At 43.1% G+C, this 17,744-nt stretch overlaps 1 protein-coding gene across 2 annotated transcripts in view; it reads right to left on the bottom strand.

Moving 5' to 3' along the window:
- Positions 429 to 17,744, bottom strand: part of SYAP1 (synapse associated protein 1) — a 45,729-nt gene continuing 28,413 nt past the window's right edge. For both annotated transcript variants that reach the window (NR_033181.2, NM_032796.4), the window contains exons 6-9: positions 10,676 to 10,824; positions 9,048 to 9,106; positions 8,460 to 8,607; positions 429 to 5,537 (exon numbers count right to left, since the gene is read on the bottom strand). Coding sequence is in view for 1 of the 2 variants with exons in the window: in NM_032796.4 (NP_116185.2) it covers positions 5,410 to 5,537; positions 8,460 to 8,607; positions 9,048 to 9,106; positions 10,676 to 10,824 (484 nt within the window). In the remaining variant the exon portion in view is untranslated. The remainder of the gene's footprint in view (positions 5,538 to 8,459; positions 8,608 to 9,047; positions 9,107 to 10,675; positions 10,825 to 17,744) is intronic.

Below are 17,744 nucleotides of genomic sequence, written 5' to 3'. Positions count from 1 at the left end.
CCTCCATTATGATGAATTGATCTATTATCTCTATTTATTAGGTCATAGGAGCTGGTTAACGTCGCTGAGTTTTAGCTCTGGCTGGCAGAAAGCATACTCACTGTTCATTATGGTTATCAGGGAAGAACAAGAAAAATCACTATATATTGTCACTCCTTGGGGGCAGGTGGCAGTGAAGGAAAAATCCCACAACAGCCTTGGAATACCAGAGCTCCTGACCGTGGGTTAGAATGGTCTTTTATTATGAAGGACAACCCATTGAATTTGAGAAGTCTACAGTGAAAGCAAAATGTGTTCTTAAAATGCAATACTATCTCGAGGCAGTTTAAATTCTAACAATAGGAGCCTACATACCAGATGGCTTTGAAATATTTACAGGTCCTCTTTGCCTGAATTTTTAGTTATCCAGGAACAACCATTATAACTTATACCTTGCCACTAAAAGTAAGCTTTATTTATTCAGAAAAAAAGGTAACAATTTTTCATTTTGAAATAAATCAGGATGCACTGAATAAATGCTGTTTAAAAAGCCACACTTTTAACAACTGAAATCATCGATGGCTTATCTAAGTAAATCCCTTAGTGTGAAGACCAGATAAATAATTTGATGATTTGTGAGAAGTATATAACTGCATGTGATTAAAGCTTCATGTGTATTTGTCATGTCGTGACTCGGTAGTTTAGCCAATAGAAATAATCATTCATTAAAATGGCCCATCTTCCCCACAATAAAACTGATTATAAACCATATCAAAATTTCTGCCACTTTTGGCCAGGTGCAGTGGCTCATCATGCCTGTAATCCCAGCACTTTGGAAGGCCGAGGCAGATAGATCACCTGAGCTCAGAAGTTCAAGAACAGCCTGAGCAACATGGGGAGACACCCATCTCTACAAAAAATACAAAAATTAGCCAGGCGTGGTGGTGCATGCCTGTGGTCCCAGCTACTCGGGAGGCTGAGGAGGGAGGATCCCTTAAGCCTGGGAGGCGGAGGCTGCAGTGAGCTGAGATCCCACCACTGCACTCTAGCCTGAGTGACAGAGCAAGACCCTGTCTCAAAAAGAAAAAAAAAAATTCTACCACTTTTATTTTTAAAAGTTGAAAAACTGGCTGGGCATGGTGGCTCATGCCTGTAATCCCAGCACTTTGAGAGGCCGAGGTGGGCGGATCACCTGAGGCCAGTCGTTCAAGACCAGCCTGGCCAACATGGTGAAACCCCGTCTCTACTAAAAATACAAAAATTAGCCAGGTGTGGTGGCACACGCCTGTAATCCCAGCTACTCGGGAGGCTGAGGCAGGAGAATCACTTGAACCCAGGAGGCGGAGGTTGCAGTGAGCCGAGGTTGCGGCCACTGCACTCCAGCCAGGGCAACAGAGTGAGCCTCCATCTCAAAAAAAAAAAAAAAGAAAAAAAAAAAAGTTGAAAAACTAAATTTGCTAAAATTAAATGTGCCTAATTTTCCTAATTAAAAAATGTTTATCTTTACTTAAAAATGGAGGGGGGTATCTATTACTAGAAAGAGTAACTATATAAAATTATTTGAATTATTGATGCACATTCAGAGTCCTGGTTTTTAATACCAAAAAGCCATTAAGGTTGGGCGCAGTGGCTCACGCCTGTAATCCCAGCACTTTGGGAGGCCGAGGCGGGCGGATCACCTGAGGTTGGGAGTTCAAGACCAGCCTGACCAACATGGCGAAACCCTGTCTCTACTAAAAATACAAAAATTAGCCGGGTGTGGTGGCACATGCCTATAATCCCAGCTACTAGGGAGGCTGAGGCAGGAGAACTGCCTGAACCCGGGAGCCGGAGGTTTGCAGTGAGCTGAGACTGCGCCATTGCATTCCAGCCCAGGCAACAGTGTGAGACTCTGTCTCAAAAAAAAAAAAAAAAAAAAAGCCGTCAAAGAGGCAAATAAAATACTGCAAGTCAGACATAATCATAAGATTTCTGCTGAAACCTTTTAAATGTCCTGAAATCCTATTTTTAACAATATTTTGATTAAAGCAAATCATCTTGATTACAATAGTGCATCTTAAATCACTGGGAGTACAAGTGTAATTGCTGCTTTATCTCTGAAACAATGTTTCTCTAGTTTTTTTTTCAAAAATTACCAATTAAGGCTGTGGCTCATGCCTGTAATCCCAACACTTTGGGAGGTCAAGGCGTGCGGATCATTTGAGATCAGGAGCTTGAGACCAGCCTGGCCAACACGGTGAAACCCCATCTCTGCTAAAAATACAAAAAAATTAGCTGGGCATGGTGGCGGTTGCCTGTAATCCCAGCTACTCTGGAGGCTGAGGTGGGAGAATCGCTTGAACTTGGGAGGCGGAGGTTGCCGTGAGCTGAGATCAAGCCACTGCACTCCAGCCTGGGTGACAGAGCAAGATTCTGTCTCCAAGAAAAAAAAACAAACAAAAAAAGAAATGCCCGATTTACCAAGAATATTTCTCATCCCCCTAAAAACTTGCCCCCCCTCCCTTTTTTGAAACAGAGTCTCTGTCACCCAGGCTGAAGTGCAGTGGCATGATCATGGCTTACTGCAGCCTGGATCTCCTGGGCTCAAGCGATCCTCCTGCCTCAGCCTTCCAAGTAGCTAGGACCACAGGTGTGGGCTACCACACCTGGCTCATTTGTATTTTTGTAGAGGCAGGGGTCTCCCTATGTTGCCCAGGCTGGTCTTGAACTCCTGAGCTCAAGCAATCTGCCTGCCTCAGCCTCCCAAAGTGCTGGGATTACAGGTGTGAACCACCATGCCCAGCCCTTGGGTCTTTTTAATTTTGGTAGTATAGAAATAACTGGAACCTCAGAGGAGACACCTGTAATGCCAACTAGAAAAACACTGCTGCAAAGGACATCTAGTGGAAGGGTAAAAAGTAAAAAGCAGTAGAAACCTCAGCTTCCCTGAGAGCATATTAGACCAGTGCTTCCCAAACTGTAAATAAAGTCCATTCTCATCCCCTGGGCGTTCTTAGTAACATCAACTGGTCTGGGGCAGGCATTTCCAACATACTGCCAGGGCATGGCCAAGCTACACTGGTTCCTGAGCCACACTCTTTGAGTAGTGAGGCATAATCTCCATAGTGTGATGTTCATATTTTAGCATTTTATTAAGTTTTACAGGTTTTCATGCTTGGTATATCTTGTTGGCTAACCCCTAGGCATGTAATAAATACTTAGAAATTTTCCACCAAACATGGTGATAAATTATTTTGCTCTTTAAAGGAATAACACTTCAGTTACCTATATAATTTACTAAAGCAGAACATTTTACTCCTTGATGAATCCATAAAAATACAGCACAACTGTATTCTTACAGTATGTACAAAATCTTATTTTATCCTTTTATTTTCACAGGCAATGCATAATTAGGTTGTTTTTAAATGAGATATTATGTAAAATTGATAGCAATAACTGTCACACACCTCTATTGCCATTGTAGGGTTTTTCTCTTTCTCTGATACTTTTTTGTGTGTGTTTATTCAACATTTATCAATAAGAATTTTAGTGCATTCACTAAGAGCCAAGCACCGACACATCCTGATATGCTTCCATCTAGGACTTTTAGCTGCTTAAAAACATTTAACATGCTTCTTTTCCTCCAGCAAACTCTTTTAAAAAAAAAATGAAACTCTTTCCTTCAATGAGATTATTTCAGAAGTTGCCAGTCATCTTGGAACCCAAACTCAGTAATAAGCAACTGTGGCACCACAAGTGGAAACCTTTTGATGATGGGCCCAGTGGTTTCATGGAATACACGGGTTTACTGCTATAACCCAAGAGACTCCAGTTGAGACAGTCTGGCTCAGACACATGCATCCACAACTATGAACAGGAGTAATGCCTGGACTCATACCCAGTTCTCTTGTTGACTATATCTTTGCCAAAGGACTACTGACTAGTTTTAATGGGGCCAAGAACACAAATATGTATATTTTTCTTATAAAGAAACATTTTAATTCTATTCCCCTTTATGTAATAAAGGCTTCTTGAAAAACATGAAAGGTTTGGGGAGCAAATGCTTAGGAAGTTTTCTGACATTAAACCACCTTGTTCGTTCGTTCATTCATTCATTCATTCATTCATTCATTTTTGAGACGGAGTCTCTCACTCTGTCACCCAGGCTGGAGTGCAGTGGCGTGATCTCAGCTCACTGCAACCTCCATCTCCCAGGTTCAAGCAATTCTCCTGCCTCAGCCTCCTCACCTTGTTCTTTAAAAATAATCATATTCTATGAATATGTGTCTGCTGGTATAGCAGAAAGAGAAGGATTAATCAATAAAGTCCTAGAAGGTGAACTCGGAGGAACACAATTTTATGAAGACTCACAGTTTAAGACAAAGCTAAAACATTTATATGTGGTGATGATTAAAACAAGAACAACAGACTTTAAGGGGAATGGGCTTCTGAAGGTTATTGTAATACAAAAAGTATGGAAGGTCCCACTTTGTATAAAAACTGTGATGTAAAATTTCTGGTATAGTTTAAAAAGAAAAGAAAGAAAAGGCCCCAGAGAAAAACAAATATTTTCGCACAGCTTTTTTTTTTTTTTTTTTTTGAGACTGAATCTCACTCTATCACCCAGGCTGGAGTGCAGTGGCGCGATCTCAGCTCGCTGCAACCTCTGCCTCCTGGGTTCAAAAGCCTCCCTAGTAGCTGGGATTACAGGTGCCTGCCACCATGCCCGGCTAATTTTTGTATTTTTAGTAGAGACAGGGTTTCACTATGTTGGCAAGGCTGGTCTCGAACTCCTGACCTCCGGTGATCTGCCCACCTCGGCCTCCCAAAGTGCTGGGATTACAGGCCTGAGCCACCACGCATGGCCTGCACAGTATTTCTTAATGTAAAATTGTGTGATGCTTATATCATTAAAATCAACTTATTTATTTTATCTTTTGGCTTTCAGGTGGAATTTTAGAAAATACCTGGCAAGTGAATAGTTCTGAAAGTGCTTCCTCTTAAGTTCTTTGGTATAATTTGGTCATTTTGATAGTAATCAACCCATTAAGTAGGTACTTTAACACCCTCATATCAATTAAAATGGAATGTGGAGTACAGATATTTAGAAAACCATGACTGAGGAATAAATTATATTTTTGACCTCATGGAAAACAGAACTCTAAAATTTTACTTATGTTTCTGTGGCAAAGATAGCCATACTGCCTATGAAGACATCTCTAACTTTATATTAAAGAAATGTTCTATAAAACATCTCTTTCTGATTATTAGAAGTAACTGTTCTATATACTTTTTTAAAGTAGAAGAGGCAAGTTTCAACTTGAAAAAAGAATAATTTTGAATTTCATAAAATTATACTCTTTCATGCCTTCTGATTCAGTAATTGTCAACATCTAGAATTTAATGTCAGTTTGCAGACTGTTAAGGATTATTCTTCTATTTCAGGAACAGCTAATTTTCCTCTTGAAGCATTTTCTCTATTTCCTTATCCCAGTTTTCATCTCGTTTTTCAGATTCTGTCACCACTTCATATTCTTGAAGTTCCTGCTGCAGTTCTTTTTCCCAATCTGCAGAATCCTCTAAAAGAAACAAAGGAGAAGAAAAAGATTCTCTCTGAATTCATAATGCTGGTGTTCACAATTCGGTCCATCTCAATTACCTACGTAAAGTCCTAGCTGCTGTAATTTTTAGTATCTCAGGCTTCACTACTATGTGTGCTCAGAAAAACTCAGTAAATTTTAACAGTGACCAAGGATAAACACAATTAGAAAGATAAATCTGTTAATGTAGAAGCAAAGGTATCAGATGTCATCAATATATTTTGGGTGTTATTTTGCTTTCCCTATGCCTCTGCATTTCCTTTTATTTAAATGGGTAAATGATAATTAATACTTGGTTGCAAGTTAATTTTTACCACTACCAATGATGATGATGGTAGCAAAAGCAGCTAATGTTTATTGAGCACTTACTGGGCTGGGCACTGGCCCAACTGCTTTCTATGTATCACGCTTTTCACCCTTGGAACAGTCCATGGACAAGGTATTACTATTTGCCACATCTTATAGATAGGGAAATGGAGACTTAGGAGAGGTTAAGCAACTTGCCCAAGATCACACCGTTTGACAGCGACAGATATAAGGATGGAACCACATCTGCAGGCTCCACAGTCTATGCTTAACCACTATACAAAGAGCTGTCTCCTTAAGAGTGGAGACAGACACCGGGGTCTGAAGTCAGCCTGGACTCTCTCATGGTGTTCTGACTGGAGCTCTCACACTGGTCTTCCGCGTTGAGATTTAGACCTGCAACTTTCTACACAGACACTCAATATACCTCTGTGTGTGTAGGATAATGCATCTGCTATGTAATGTTATAAAATGGTGAGAAAACAAACTGGCTATTTAAAAAGTAAAGCTAAGATTCATTTTTGTCTCTTTTTTTTTTTTGAGACAGAGTCTCACTCTGTTGCCCAGGCTGGAGTGCAATGGTGTGGTCTCGGCTCACTGCAACCTCTGCCTCCTGGGTTCAAGCGATTCTCCTGCCTCAGCCTCCCAAGTAGCTGGGATTACAGGTGCCTGCCACCACGCCTGGCTAATTTTTGTATTTTTTTTTTTTTTTTGAGACGGAGTCTTGCTCTGTTGCCCAGGCTGCAGTGCAGTGGCATGATCTCAGGTCACTGCAAGCTCCGCTTCCTGGGTTCAGGCCATTCTGCTGCCTCAGCCTCCCAAGTAGCTGGGACTACAGGCACCCACCACCACGCCAGGCTAATTTTTTTTTTTTTTTGTATTTTTAGTAGAGACGGGGTTTCACCATGTTAGCCAGGATGGTCTCGATCTCCTGACCTCGTGATCCGCCCGCCTCAGCCTCCCAAAGTGCTGGGATTACAGGCATGAGCCACCGTGCCCAGCCTGTCTTTAAAAATAAACCTTAAACTTAGCTATAGAGAAAACAAAAATGAAATGCTTTAATCGTTCTACAGCAGCAACCTCAAAGGAAAAGACACCCTGTGTTGTGCAGGAAGCCACCAATTTCACAAATATTTATTAGGGTGCTTACTGAGTGCTAAGTTCCACATTAGGTACTGTAGGGGGACAGAAAGACAATGTGTAACTGCCCTTGGGGATCTTACAATTTAGTCCTGGAGCCAAGATATATAATATATAAAAGACTATTGGGGCCAGGCATGTTGGCTCATGCCTGTAATCCCAGCACTTTGGGAGGCCGAGGCAGACAGATCACTTGAGGCCAGGAGTTCGAGACCAGCCTGCCAACATAGCGATACAAAACATACAAAAATTAGCCAGGTGTGGTGGTGCACGCCTGTAGTCCCAGCTACCTGGGAGGCTGAGGCAGGAGAATCGCTTGAATCCAGGAGGTGGAGGTTGCAGTGAGCCGTGACTGCACCACTGCACTCCAGCCTGGGCGACAGGGTGAGACTCCATCTCAAAAAAAAAAAAAGACTGTTGGGCTGGGCATGGTGGCACATACCTATAATACTAGCACTTAGAGACACTGAGGTGGCAAGATTGCTTGAGCCCAAGAGTTCAAGATCAGCCTGGGCAATCTGGCAAGACCCCATCTCTACAAAAAATTAAAAAAATTAGCCTGGTGTGGTGGCACACGCCTATAGTCCCAGCTACATTGGAGCCTGAGGTGGGTGGATGGTGTGAGCCTAGGAGTTTGAGGCTGCAGTGAGCTATGACGGCACTATTGCACTTCAGCCTGGGTGACAGAGTGAGACCCTATCTCAAAAAGAAAACTGGTTTTTAAAAGCAGCCTGCTCCTTCCCAGAAGCAATGCTCTTTTGGCATGCAGCAGCTGGGAAAAGAATCTTCCATGTACATGTCTACAGTCAAGGAGAATGCCAGCTTTTAAAAATTTATTATTATTATTATTATTATTTTGAGATGAAGTCTTGCTCTGTCACCCAGGCTGGAGTGCAGTGGTGTGATCTCGGCTCACTGCAACATCCGCCTCCCGGGTTCAAGTGATTGTCCCATCTCAGCTTCCTCCCGAGTAGCTGGAATTGTAGATGTGAGCCACTGCACCAGGGCCAAAAACTTATTATTTATTTATTTATTTATTTTTGAGGCGGAGTCTCGCTCTGTCACCCAGGCTGGAGTGCAGTGACGCGATCTCGGCTCACTGCAAGCTCCGCCTCCCAGGTTCATGCCATTCTCCTGCCTCAGCCTTCCGAATAGCTGGGACTACAGGCACCCACCACCAGGCCCGGCTAATTTTTTTTTGTATTTTTAGTAGAGACGGGGTTTCACCGTGTTAGCCAGGATGGTCTCGATCTCCTGACCTCGTGATCTGCCCGCCTCGGCCTCCCAAAGTGCTAGGATTACAAGCGTGAGCCATTGCCTCTGACAAGAATCAATTTTGATGCAAAATTTACAACACATTTTTGTGCACTGGCTTCAGAATAACAATTTTCTACAATTAGCTTTGGAATTAGGGAGACGAATAGTTTCTTTGCTTTGATTTGTTTTGTTTTTTACCTTCCAGTACGGCTGTCTCCTCTTGCTTTTTGTCAAGCACTAGTTGCTCCATTTCTTTCCTTAGATCTTCCTGATTTAGGTTACAGGCATCGAAGGCATCACTGACAAACTCAGAAACACCTGGGCTAGTAGAAATTTCTTCCTCATCCTGAAATGCAACAAATGAGCTCTTGAAATGGTTTGCTAAGCGACATTTGTGTTATTCTGGTTTGCTATTGTCTCACAATTTAATGCCGTGCTATTTTTATTTCTTTTCTCTGCGAGCTGTAAGACAATGAGCACTGCTCTCCAACCTTCTAACTTGCAGTTGCTTGGTAACTACATGAGTTACCACCTGAGGCTATTATTCTCCTTCACAGTTTGAATCACTCCAACCCTTCTCTCCAATCCCTGATGAACACATCTAGAATTACATATGCCAGTAAATCGTCCTCAAGTCTCAGCCCTAGTTCCTTGACTATTCAAGTACCAGATGCTGCTTCTTCCAAACCCATATTCATACATAGTTTTAAATGGTATCAGAAAGAGTTAACACAGTTACTTTATTTCCAGATATCAACTACTAGGTACAATGTAAAACTGGATTACCTCTTGAGTTTTAAGCTGAGATTTGATTACAACGGGTGGCGTTTTGGGCCGTACTGCCTCTAAGAAGTGAGAATAAGAGAGACAATAATTGCTTGGTTCAGTTCTGAATACATATTATAATCACAGTAAAATATCCACAAGTATTATGATACTAAATAATTTTCAGAAATGAATTTTTATGTTATGCTTTCAGCTTTTCTTAAGTTATAAGAAACAGCCATGGTGAAACCATCTCAACCTCTTACTTTGGGGATATTTTTATCTATCTATCTACCTATCCATTTATTTATTTTTAGACATGGGGTGTCACTATGTTGCCCAGGCTGGACTCGAACTTCTGGGCTCAAGTGATCCTCCTGCCTCAGCCTCCTGGGGATATTTTTAACATGTCATCATATTCAATACATATCCTTACATAAAATTTCCAGCAGGAAATAATTTTTAACTACAGTGTTAGCAAAATTCATTGAAGAATAGTTCTGTACTTTTTTAGAATAATGAGAATTAAGCTATTTATCAAGTTTGCCTGCTGATAAGAGTGCTAGAAAAAGGCAGTCTTTATGGAATACTGTCATAAATCCATTTTGTTAAACAAGGCAGTATTTGGCAAAATGGCATTTTCCAACAAAATTAACATAAATGCTAAAGAATAACAGACAATTGGGATGCATGTTAACACTGATATACAAAATGACAAATTTTCCTGTGTAGAGCAACTTCACTCCATTTCCCTGACACTAACAGCAGTGTCAGATCCTGTCCTAGTATTCTGTATAACCTGTACCTCAGGACATGCTGTTTTGCTTAATCATTTAAAATTCCGTGAATTAAATCACCCCGCTTCTTGTGGGATAAATGTCCAGTTGTAATGAGTACCTACTATACACAGCAGGTACTCACTAAGAATTTAAACTATGACACAAAATGTGTTTCTTATTTTAATTATTACAGATTTCAAACAGCTGCCCTTATTATAAAACACATTCCCACAACCAGGGGTAAGTTAGTGTCACAATGAGTCCAATGTTCATCAGTGCCTAGCTCAGAACTAGATAGATCCTTGTAACTTGGGAGTGGAATGGAGCTTTGTTCTGCTCTACAGACTACACACACTGGAGAAACATCAGGTTGAAACAAACAAAAAGGAGGCGGACTGAATCAGGGTAGAGGACAGAAGTATAAAGAATCACATGGTTAAGGGCCAAAAATGAGAGGGGGGGAAGATGACGGATGTTTGAGAGAGAAATAAAACGAAAAAAAAACTCGCCAGGCACAGTGGCTCATGCCTGTAAGTCCCAGCTACTTGGGAAGCTGAGGCAGGAGGATCGCTTGAGTCTAGGAGTTTGAGGACAGCCTGGGCAACATAGTGAGACCCGTGTCTAAAAAAAAAAACAAAAACGAAAACAAGGAATGAGAAAGGAGATAAGCAAAGTAAAGGAAAGCTTGGGGAAGACATGTGTGAGCTGGGTCAGAGAGAAGGCAGTAAGAGAAAAATGAAGATTTCCTCTGGGAAGAAAAGAATTTTTCCCTAAGGCAATGACATTTCTGGTACGTATAAGAGGTCAAGCTCATTTGAGTCTCTAAGAACAACTTTTTCTGTAGAGTGCTGTCTTCTACCCAGAATATACCTGCCAGCGGCAAATCTTGCTCTCTGCCATTGCTCTTCTCCTCCTTCCCTGCGGCCTGCTGTTGGGCAGCCAGGGCCGTGAGCTGGGCTGACTGCTTAATCAGGGAGACGCGGTAAAAGTAGTTCCTCCAGAACACTTCTTCCTTCACACTTTTAAAGAAAGGCAAATTAGAACAGTGGAAAAAGGCAAAATTGAAAATCAATAAAAAGCAGACAGACAAGAACACATTTGAGAACGCACACAGACAAGTGCACGCAGGGGTTATTTGTTGTAAAGGGGACTGGAGTAGATGATTTGCAAGAGCACTTTCAAAGCTGAGTGAGGTTCAGAGGGGGTTCATATTGGCTTTAACAATTTTTTTTTTTTGACACGGAGTCTTGCTCTGTTGCCCAGGTTGGAGTGCAGTGGTGTGATCTCAGCTGACTGCAACCTCCGCCTCCTGGGTTCCAGCAATTCTCTTGCCTCAGCCTCCCGAGTTGCTGGGATTATAGGTGCCCGCCACCATGCACAGCTAATTTTTGTATTTTTAGTAGAGACGGGGTTTCACAATGTTGGCCTGGCTGGTCTCAAACTCCTGACCTCATGATCTGCCCGCCTCGGCCTCCCAAAGTGCTGGGATTACAGGCGTGAGCCACCGCACCCAGCCCATATTCACTTTAGAATTGAAAGCTAACAACAGGATAAACCTAACAGCTATCTTCCCCGTAGCAGCAAAATACAAGTTACAGAATACCAATGAAACCTCAGCATTTCTTGGTATCTTAATGATACCAATACTGCTCTCGGTAGAAGAAAACATGGCATTGTTGTGAAACTAGCATAATCAACCTGGGAAACCAGAAGCAGAGCCAGGACTCCACCAATCACTTGCTGTTTCTCAAGAGGATTAAATGCCTTCCAGCAGTGAGAAGCAAGCATTGTGGCTGTTGTTCCTTATGAAAGAGAATGTTTGGCAGCTTGCTAATAACTAGTAACCAGTAAGAGTTAGCAATGGGGTGGGAAATGCTTGATAAAAAGATTGAAGTGCAGTTCAACCTGAAAACTCTTGGTGGTTCTCAAACCTGGCTACCTATTAGAATCACCTGGTGTGATGTGTTGGTGCCCAAGTGGGTGAGGTAAGTGTCCACACAGGGGGGTGGCCTGGAACGGAGAGTGAGAACCAAGCAGGGAGAGAAGGGTGTTTGAGCAGAGGAGTGAGTGGCAGCAAAAATGACAGATCAGCCACATGCACAGGGAATAAGTAAAAATATTAAAGATAGTAGAAACCAGGTTTCTCACCATCAGAGAGGAGAGCTACAAACATGGAAAGGGAAAAAATGAAAATGACCTCCGTCATGAGGTAGCACCATGAACACATGGTTTTCATTCCACACAGAAATGAGCACACACACATTCCCTGGCTGTGTCCACTGAGAGCATGCAGAGCAGTGGCACCCCAATGGCAATGAGCACACCTAGCATCCAGATCTTGCAAAATACCAAGATTTAGACTTTCCACTAAAAGGATCCAGAGCTCCCTGGGGAAATGGCTGATTCCAGGGTTAGAGCAGAGGAAGAATACTATCTTGTGCCAGAAAGCAAGGAAACGTGTGAAGAAATGATGGGGATGAGTTAGAAAGACACAAGTCAGCTTGAATAGTCTCCCATTGGCCAAATTGGTAATTATTATTATTTTTTTTTGAGACAAAGTCTCACTCTGTCATCCAGGCCGGAGTGCAGTGGTGTGAACATGGCTCACTGTAGCCTTGATCTCACCAGCCCAGGTGATGCTTCTGCCTCAGCCTCCCGGGTGGCTGAGACTACAGGCACATGCCACTATGCCTTGCTAATTTTTTTTTTTTTTTTTTTTGAGACGGAGTCTCACTTTTGTCACCCAGGTTGGAGTGCAGTGGCGCGATCTTGGCTCACTGCAATTTCCGCCTCCCAGGTTCAAGCAATTCTCCTGCCTCAGCCTCCTGAGTAGCTGGGATCACAGGCGCCCACCACCATGCCCAGCTATGCCTGGCTAATTTTTTGTAGAGATGAGGTTTCACCATGTTGCCCAGGCTAGTCTTGAACTCCTGGGCTCAAGTGATCCTCCCAACTAGGCCTCCCAAAGTGCTGGGATTACAGGTGTAAGCCACCATGCCTGGCCTCAAATTGGTAATAATTTGAGCATCAAAATTACAGACCATTGCATGAGTCTGTACAAATATAAATACATGGAAAGTCTGATGAATAGAGTATTCACAGTTTCAAAGCACATCCCAGCAAAATAGTAATTACATTCAAAGAGGAAAAGAGTAACTTTACAGTCAAGAAACCTGGCAAACACCACCTGCATCAAATGACCCAAGTATGAACAGTAATGGGACAAATGGCTGCATGTGCCACCTGACAGCATGCAACAGACATAAGGAGATTGATGAGACATGAAAACCAAATGTAACCTGTGAGTGTGAACTGGGCTTTTTTGCTAAAAAGGACATTATTGGGACAAATGGAAAAACCTCAATGGGGTCTGAGAGTGAGATGGTAATAACGTGTAAATGATCATTTCCTAATTTGGATGGGCACACTGTGGTCATGTAGGAGAATGCTTGTAAAACACTACGGCATTTGGGAGTGATGCAACATTAGGTCTCAAGTGATTTGGAGAAAAGTTCTTTATGTTGTACCTCCAATTTTTCCATAAGTTTGTGTTTCAAAATAATAATAATAATAATAATAATAATAATAATAATAATAATCCATTGATAACTGTGCTCGCTTCAGAGAAATTAAATAAAAATCTTGAGGGTTGAATACAAAAAACAAAACTAAATAAAAGCAAAATGGGTCAGGCATGGTGGCCTACGTCTGTAGTCCCAGTGCCTTTGGGAGGCCAAGGCAGGAGGAATGCAAGGTCAGGAGTTTGAGACCAGCCTGGGGAATATGGTGAAATCGCATCTCTGCAAAAAATACAAAAATTAGCCGATGTGGTGGTATGTGCCAGTAGTCCCAGCTACTTGGGAGGCTGAGGCAGGAGAATCGCTTGAACCCAGCATGTGGAGGCTGCGGTGAGCCAAGATCGCACCACTGCACTCCAGCCTGGACGAGAGTAAGACTTTGTCTCAAAAAAAAAAAAAAAAAAAAAAAAGGCCGGGTGCAGTGGCTCATGCCTGTAATCCCAGCACTTTGGGAAGCCAAGGTGGGCAGATCACCTGAGGTCAGGAGTTCAAGACCAGCCTGGCCAACATGGTGAAACCCCGTCTCTATGAAAAATACAAAAATTAGCTGGGTATAGTGCATGCTTGTAGTCCCGGCTACGCAGGAGGCTGAGGCAGGAGAATTGCTTGAACCCAGGAGGCGGAGGTTGCAGTGAGCCAAGATTGTACCATTGCACTCCAGCCTGGGCAACAATAGCGAAACTCCGTATCAAAAAAAAAAAAAAAGAAAAGAAAAAAAGCATTAAAAAAGCACATATACATGCACACAAACATGTACACACCCAAGGAATGGCTTTGGTGACCTGCAGGGTGTGTGAAATTTTATTTTTGTTTGTTTTTGCCTGGAAGAGTGGCTCATTTTATGTTCTAATTTTTTTTTGTTGTTTTTTTTTTGGCAAGTAGAAATGACAAAAGGGTGGGAGAATGCCTCTTTATCCCTTTTTTTTTTTTTTTTGAGACAGAGTCTCGCTCTGTCACCCAGGCTGGTGTGCAATAGCGTGATCTTGGCTCACTGCAACCTCCATCTCCTGGGTTCAAGCGATTCTCCTGCCTCAGCCTCCCGAGTAGCTGGGACTACAGGCACGTGCTACCGTGCCTGGCTAATTTTTTGTATTTTTAGTAGAGACGGGGTTTCACTGTGTTAGCCAGGATGGTCTAGATCTCCTGACCTCGTGATCTGCCCGCCTCGGCCTCCCAAAGTGCTGGGATTACAGGCGTGAGCCACCATGCCCAGTCTATCCCATTTTTTTAGAAGGGATGCAAGGTTCTTAGAATGGGGGGAAAACGAGAAGAAAGCCTGACAGAAAAAGACTTTGAAAGAGTAGAATACGATCAGTCAGTGCTAGGTGCGGTGGCTCATGCCTGTAATTCCAGCACTTTAGGAGGCTAAGGAGGGCGGATCACCTGAGGTCAGGAGTTCGAGACCAGCCTAGGCAACATGGTGAAACCCCGTCTCTACTAAAAATACAAAATTAGCCGGGCGTGGTGGTGCACACCTGTAATCGCAGCTACCTGGGAGGCTAATGCAGGAGAATCGCTTGAACTGGGGAGGCAGATGTTGCAATGAGCCAAGATGGCGCCATCGCACTCCAGCCTGGGTGACAGAGTGAGACTCTGTCTCAAAAAAAAAAAAAAAAAATCAGTGAGAACTAGCAGAAAATAATGAGACTCAGGCTTGTGAATCTGGACAGAGCTTATCTTAGATGAGGCATCAGAATGCACAGTTGTCACACCTGTGAATGGAGAAGCTAGGCCTGGAAGCTAGCATGTAAGTGATAGAGGCAAAATGCACGATTACCTATACAAGCGAGGACAGGTAACAAGATGGAATTTGCTGCCAGACACAGCCCCACTTTTATTAATGCCACCAACATTTACCGGTGGAATTATGGTGCCATGTGCATCAGGCGCTATGCTGGGTGCTGGGGGAATAAGACAAGTTGTCTGCCATCATAGATGGTCACAGGAATAATAACCTCTCACTTGTTAAGTTCTTACTACATGCCAAGCAGCATTTCCCAAACTCATGTGGCCACACAACTGTTGTAACGTCTCTTGGAATTAGTTCGGCAAGAGGGATATTGGGCTTCATAGCAATTCATAAGGGATTATAGTTGACCACGAGTTTAGCTGAGCAAACCACAGTATGCTACCACTGCTAAAAGAGCTCATGAAATCTTCGGCTGCATCAAAAACATACAAGATATGCTATGGTGTGCTTTCTGCAATTAAGACAACGCATTATATTCACTCCTGAGGACTCACTTTAACGATGACACTGACAAACCAAAGGGTATTTACCGGCAAAACACCTGGATGGTGAGGGATTATAGGGACTAAGACATTTAGGGGAACTAAGAACTGGGCCTGTTTGTCCTGATAAGTTCCAGGGTCTTAAGCCATAACACTCGAGCCAAACAAAAGTGAAATGAGCCTTCCCATGAGGTAGTAGGCTGCCTAAATATCTTTGAAATCACTTTTTTTTTTTTTTTTTTTGAGATGGAGTCTCCCTCTGTCACCCAGGCTGGAGTGCAGTGGCACAATCTCGGCTCACTGTAACCTCCGCCTCCTGTGTTCAAGTGATTCTGCCTCAGCCTCCCGAGTAGCTGGGATTACAGGCACACGCCACCACCCGGCTAATTTTTGTATTTTTAGTAGAGACGGAGTTTCACTGTGTTAGCCAGGATGGTCTCGAACTCCTGACCTCAAGTGATCCACCTGCCTCAGCTTCCCAAAGTGCTGGGATTACAGGTGTGAGCCACCGCGCCTGGCCTGAATTCACTTTTAAGTCTGAGCTATGTGAAATGCCCAAAATGAGACTTAGGTATTCTAGGTACCTATGGTAGATCATGGGCACTGTTTGCTGTCTTGATTAATAAAAACAAACATGTGGACTGCTTTGTTTTCCATAGTCTCTCCCTCTTGATATGAGAGGTGCGGTCATAGAGGCACACTGCAGAAATAGTCTGTGTCACCCTCTGGGGAAGAGTCACAATACAGATGACGACTAAAGGTTCTGAGAAGTCAAGTCCTTTGGTAAAGAAATCCAGGCTGGGCACGGTAGTGGCTCACACCTGTAATCCCAGCATTTTGGGAGGCTGAGGCAGGAGGATCACTTGAGCTCAGGACTTTGACACCAGCTTGGGCAACAGAGTGAGACCCTGACTCTACAAGAAATAAAAAATTAGCTGGGTATGGTGGCATGTGCCTGTAATCCCAGCTATTCATAGGGAGGCTGAGGTAGAATTGCTTGAGCCTGGGAGGTTGAGGCTGCAGTGAGCCATGATCACACCACTGTATTCCAGCCTGGGCAACAGAGAGATACCTTGTCTTAAAAAGAAAAAAAATTCACGGCCAGGCACGGAGGTTCACGCCTGTAATCCCAGCACTTTGGGAGGCTGAGGCAGGCAGATTGCAAGGTCAAGAGATTGAGACCATCCTGGCCAACATGGTGAAACCCTGTCTCTACTAAATATACAAAAATTAGCTAGGTGTGGTGGCGTGCGCCTGTAGTCCCAGCTACTTGGGAGGCTGAGGCACAGGAGAATCGCTAGAACCCGGGAGGTGGAGGTTGCAGTGAGCCGAGATCGCACCACTACATTCCAGCCTGAGTGACAGAGCGAGACTCTGTCTCAAAAAAAAAAAAGAAAAAAAAAAGAAAAAAATTAATTGAGCACAGCAACTCTCAAACACTTATCTATTTGTTTTCCTGCACTATCTTAAGGCATTGTATCCTGTGAAAACCCTCCGGGAAACACTGGACAAATGTCACAGGCCAAGGCCAAGGCAGGAAAGGACTTGTGATTTCCCTACTGTCATCAGAATGAGGGCCTCAGAGGGTGCTTGTGATGTACCAGCAGGACCCTATCTCGGTCACAGCATTAGACTACCACAGGGAAGGGTTAAGCTACTAATATGCAGTTTGAAATCCAGAGCAAGTGTTTTGTTTTCTAAAGTGTTCCTAGTTAATGATGGCTTCTGTTCAGAAAAAGTGTTTCAAAGAGCAAAGTTGTGCTTCTGTGTGTCAGGCAGGAAAAGTCTGGAAACCGTATATTTGTGTCTGACAGCTTGTTTTTGTTCTGTTATGGAAATTTTCGACAAAACAGAAGTGAAGCAACTAGAACAATGAACCCCATGTACCTGTGACCTACCTACCGTGAGTATCAGCATTTCACCAGTTGCGTTCCATCTATCTTCCCCTCCCCTGCACACATGCTTTTCTTTGGGAATGGGTTGGAATATTTTAAGGCGAATGAGAGACATCACATTCTTTCATTTGTAAATACTTCAGCAAGCATTTCTTTTTCTTTTCTTTTTTTTTTTGAGACGGAGTTTCGCTCTTGTTGCCTAGGCTGGAGTGCAATGATACGATCTTGGCTCAC

This window comes from Homo sapiens, chromosome X (assembly GCF_000001405.40).
Source record: "Homo sapiens chromosome X, GRCh38.p14 Primary Assembly".
Lineage (NCBI taxonomy): Eukaryota > Metazoa > Chordata > Mammalia > Primates > Hominidae > Homo > Homo sapiens.
This window is presented reverse-complemented; position numbering and strand designations above follow the sequence as displayed.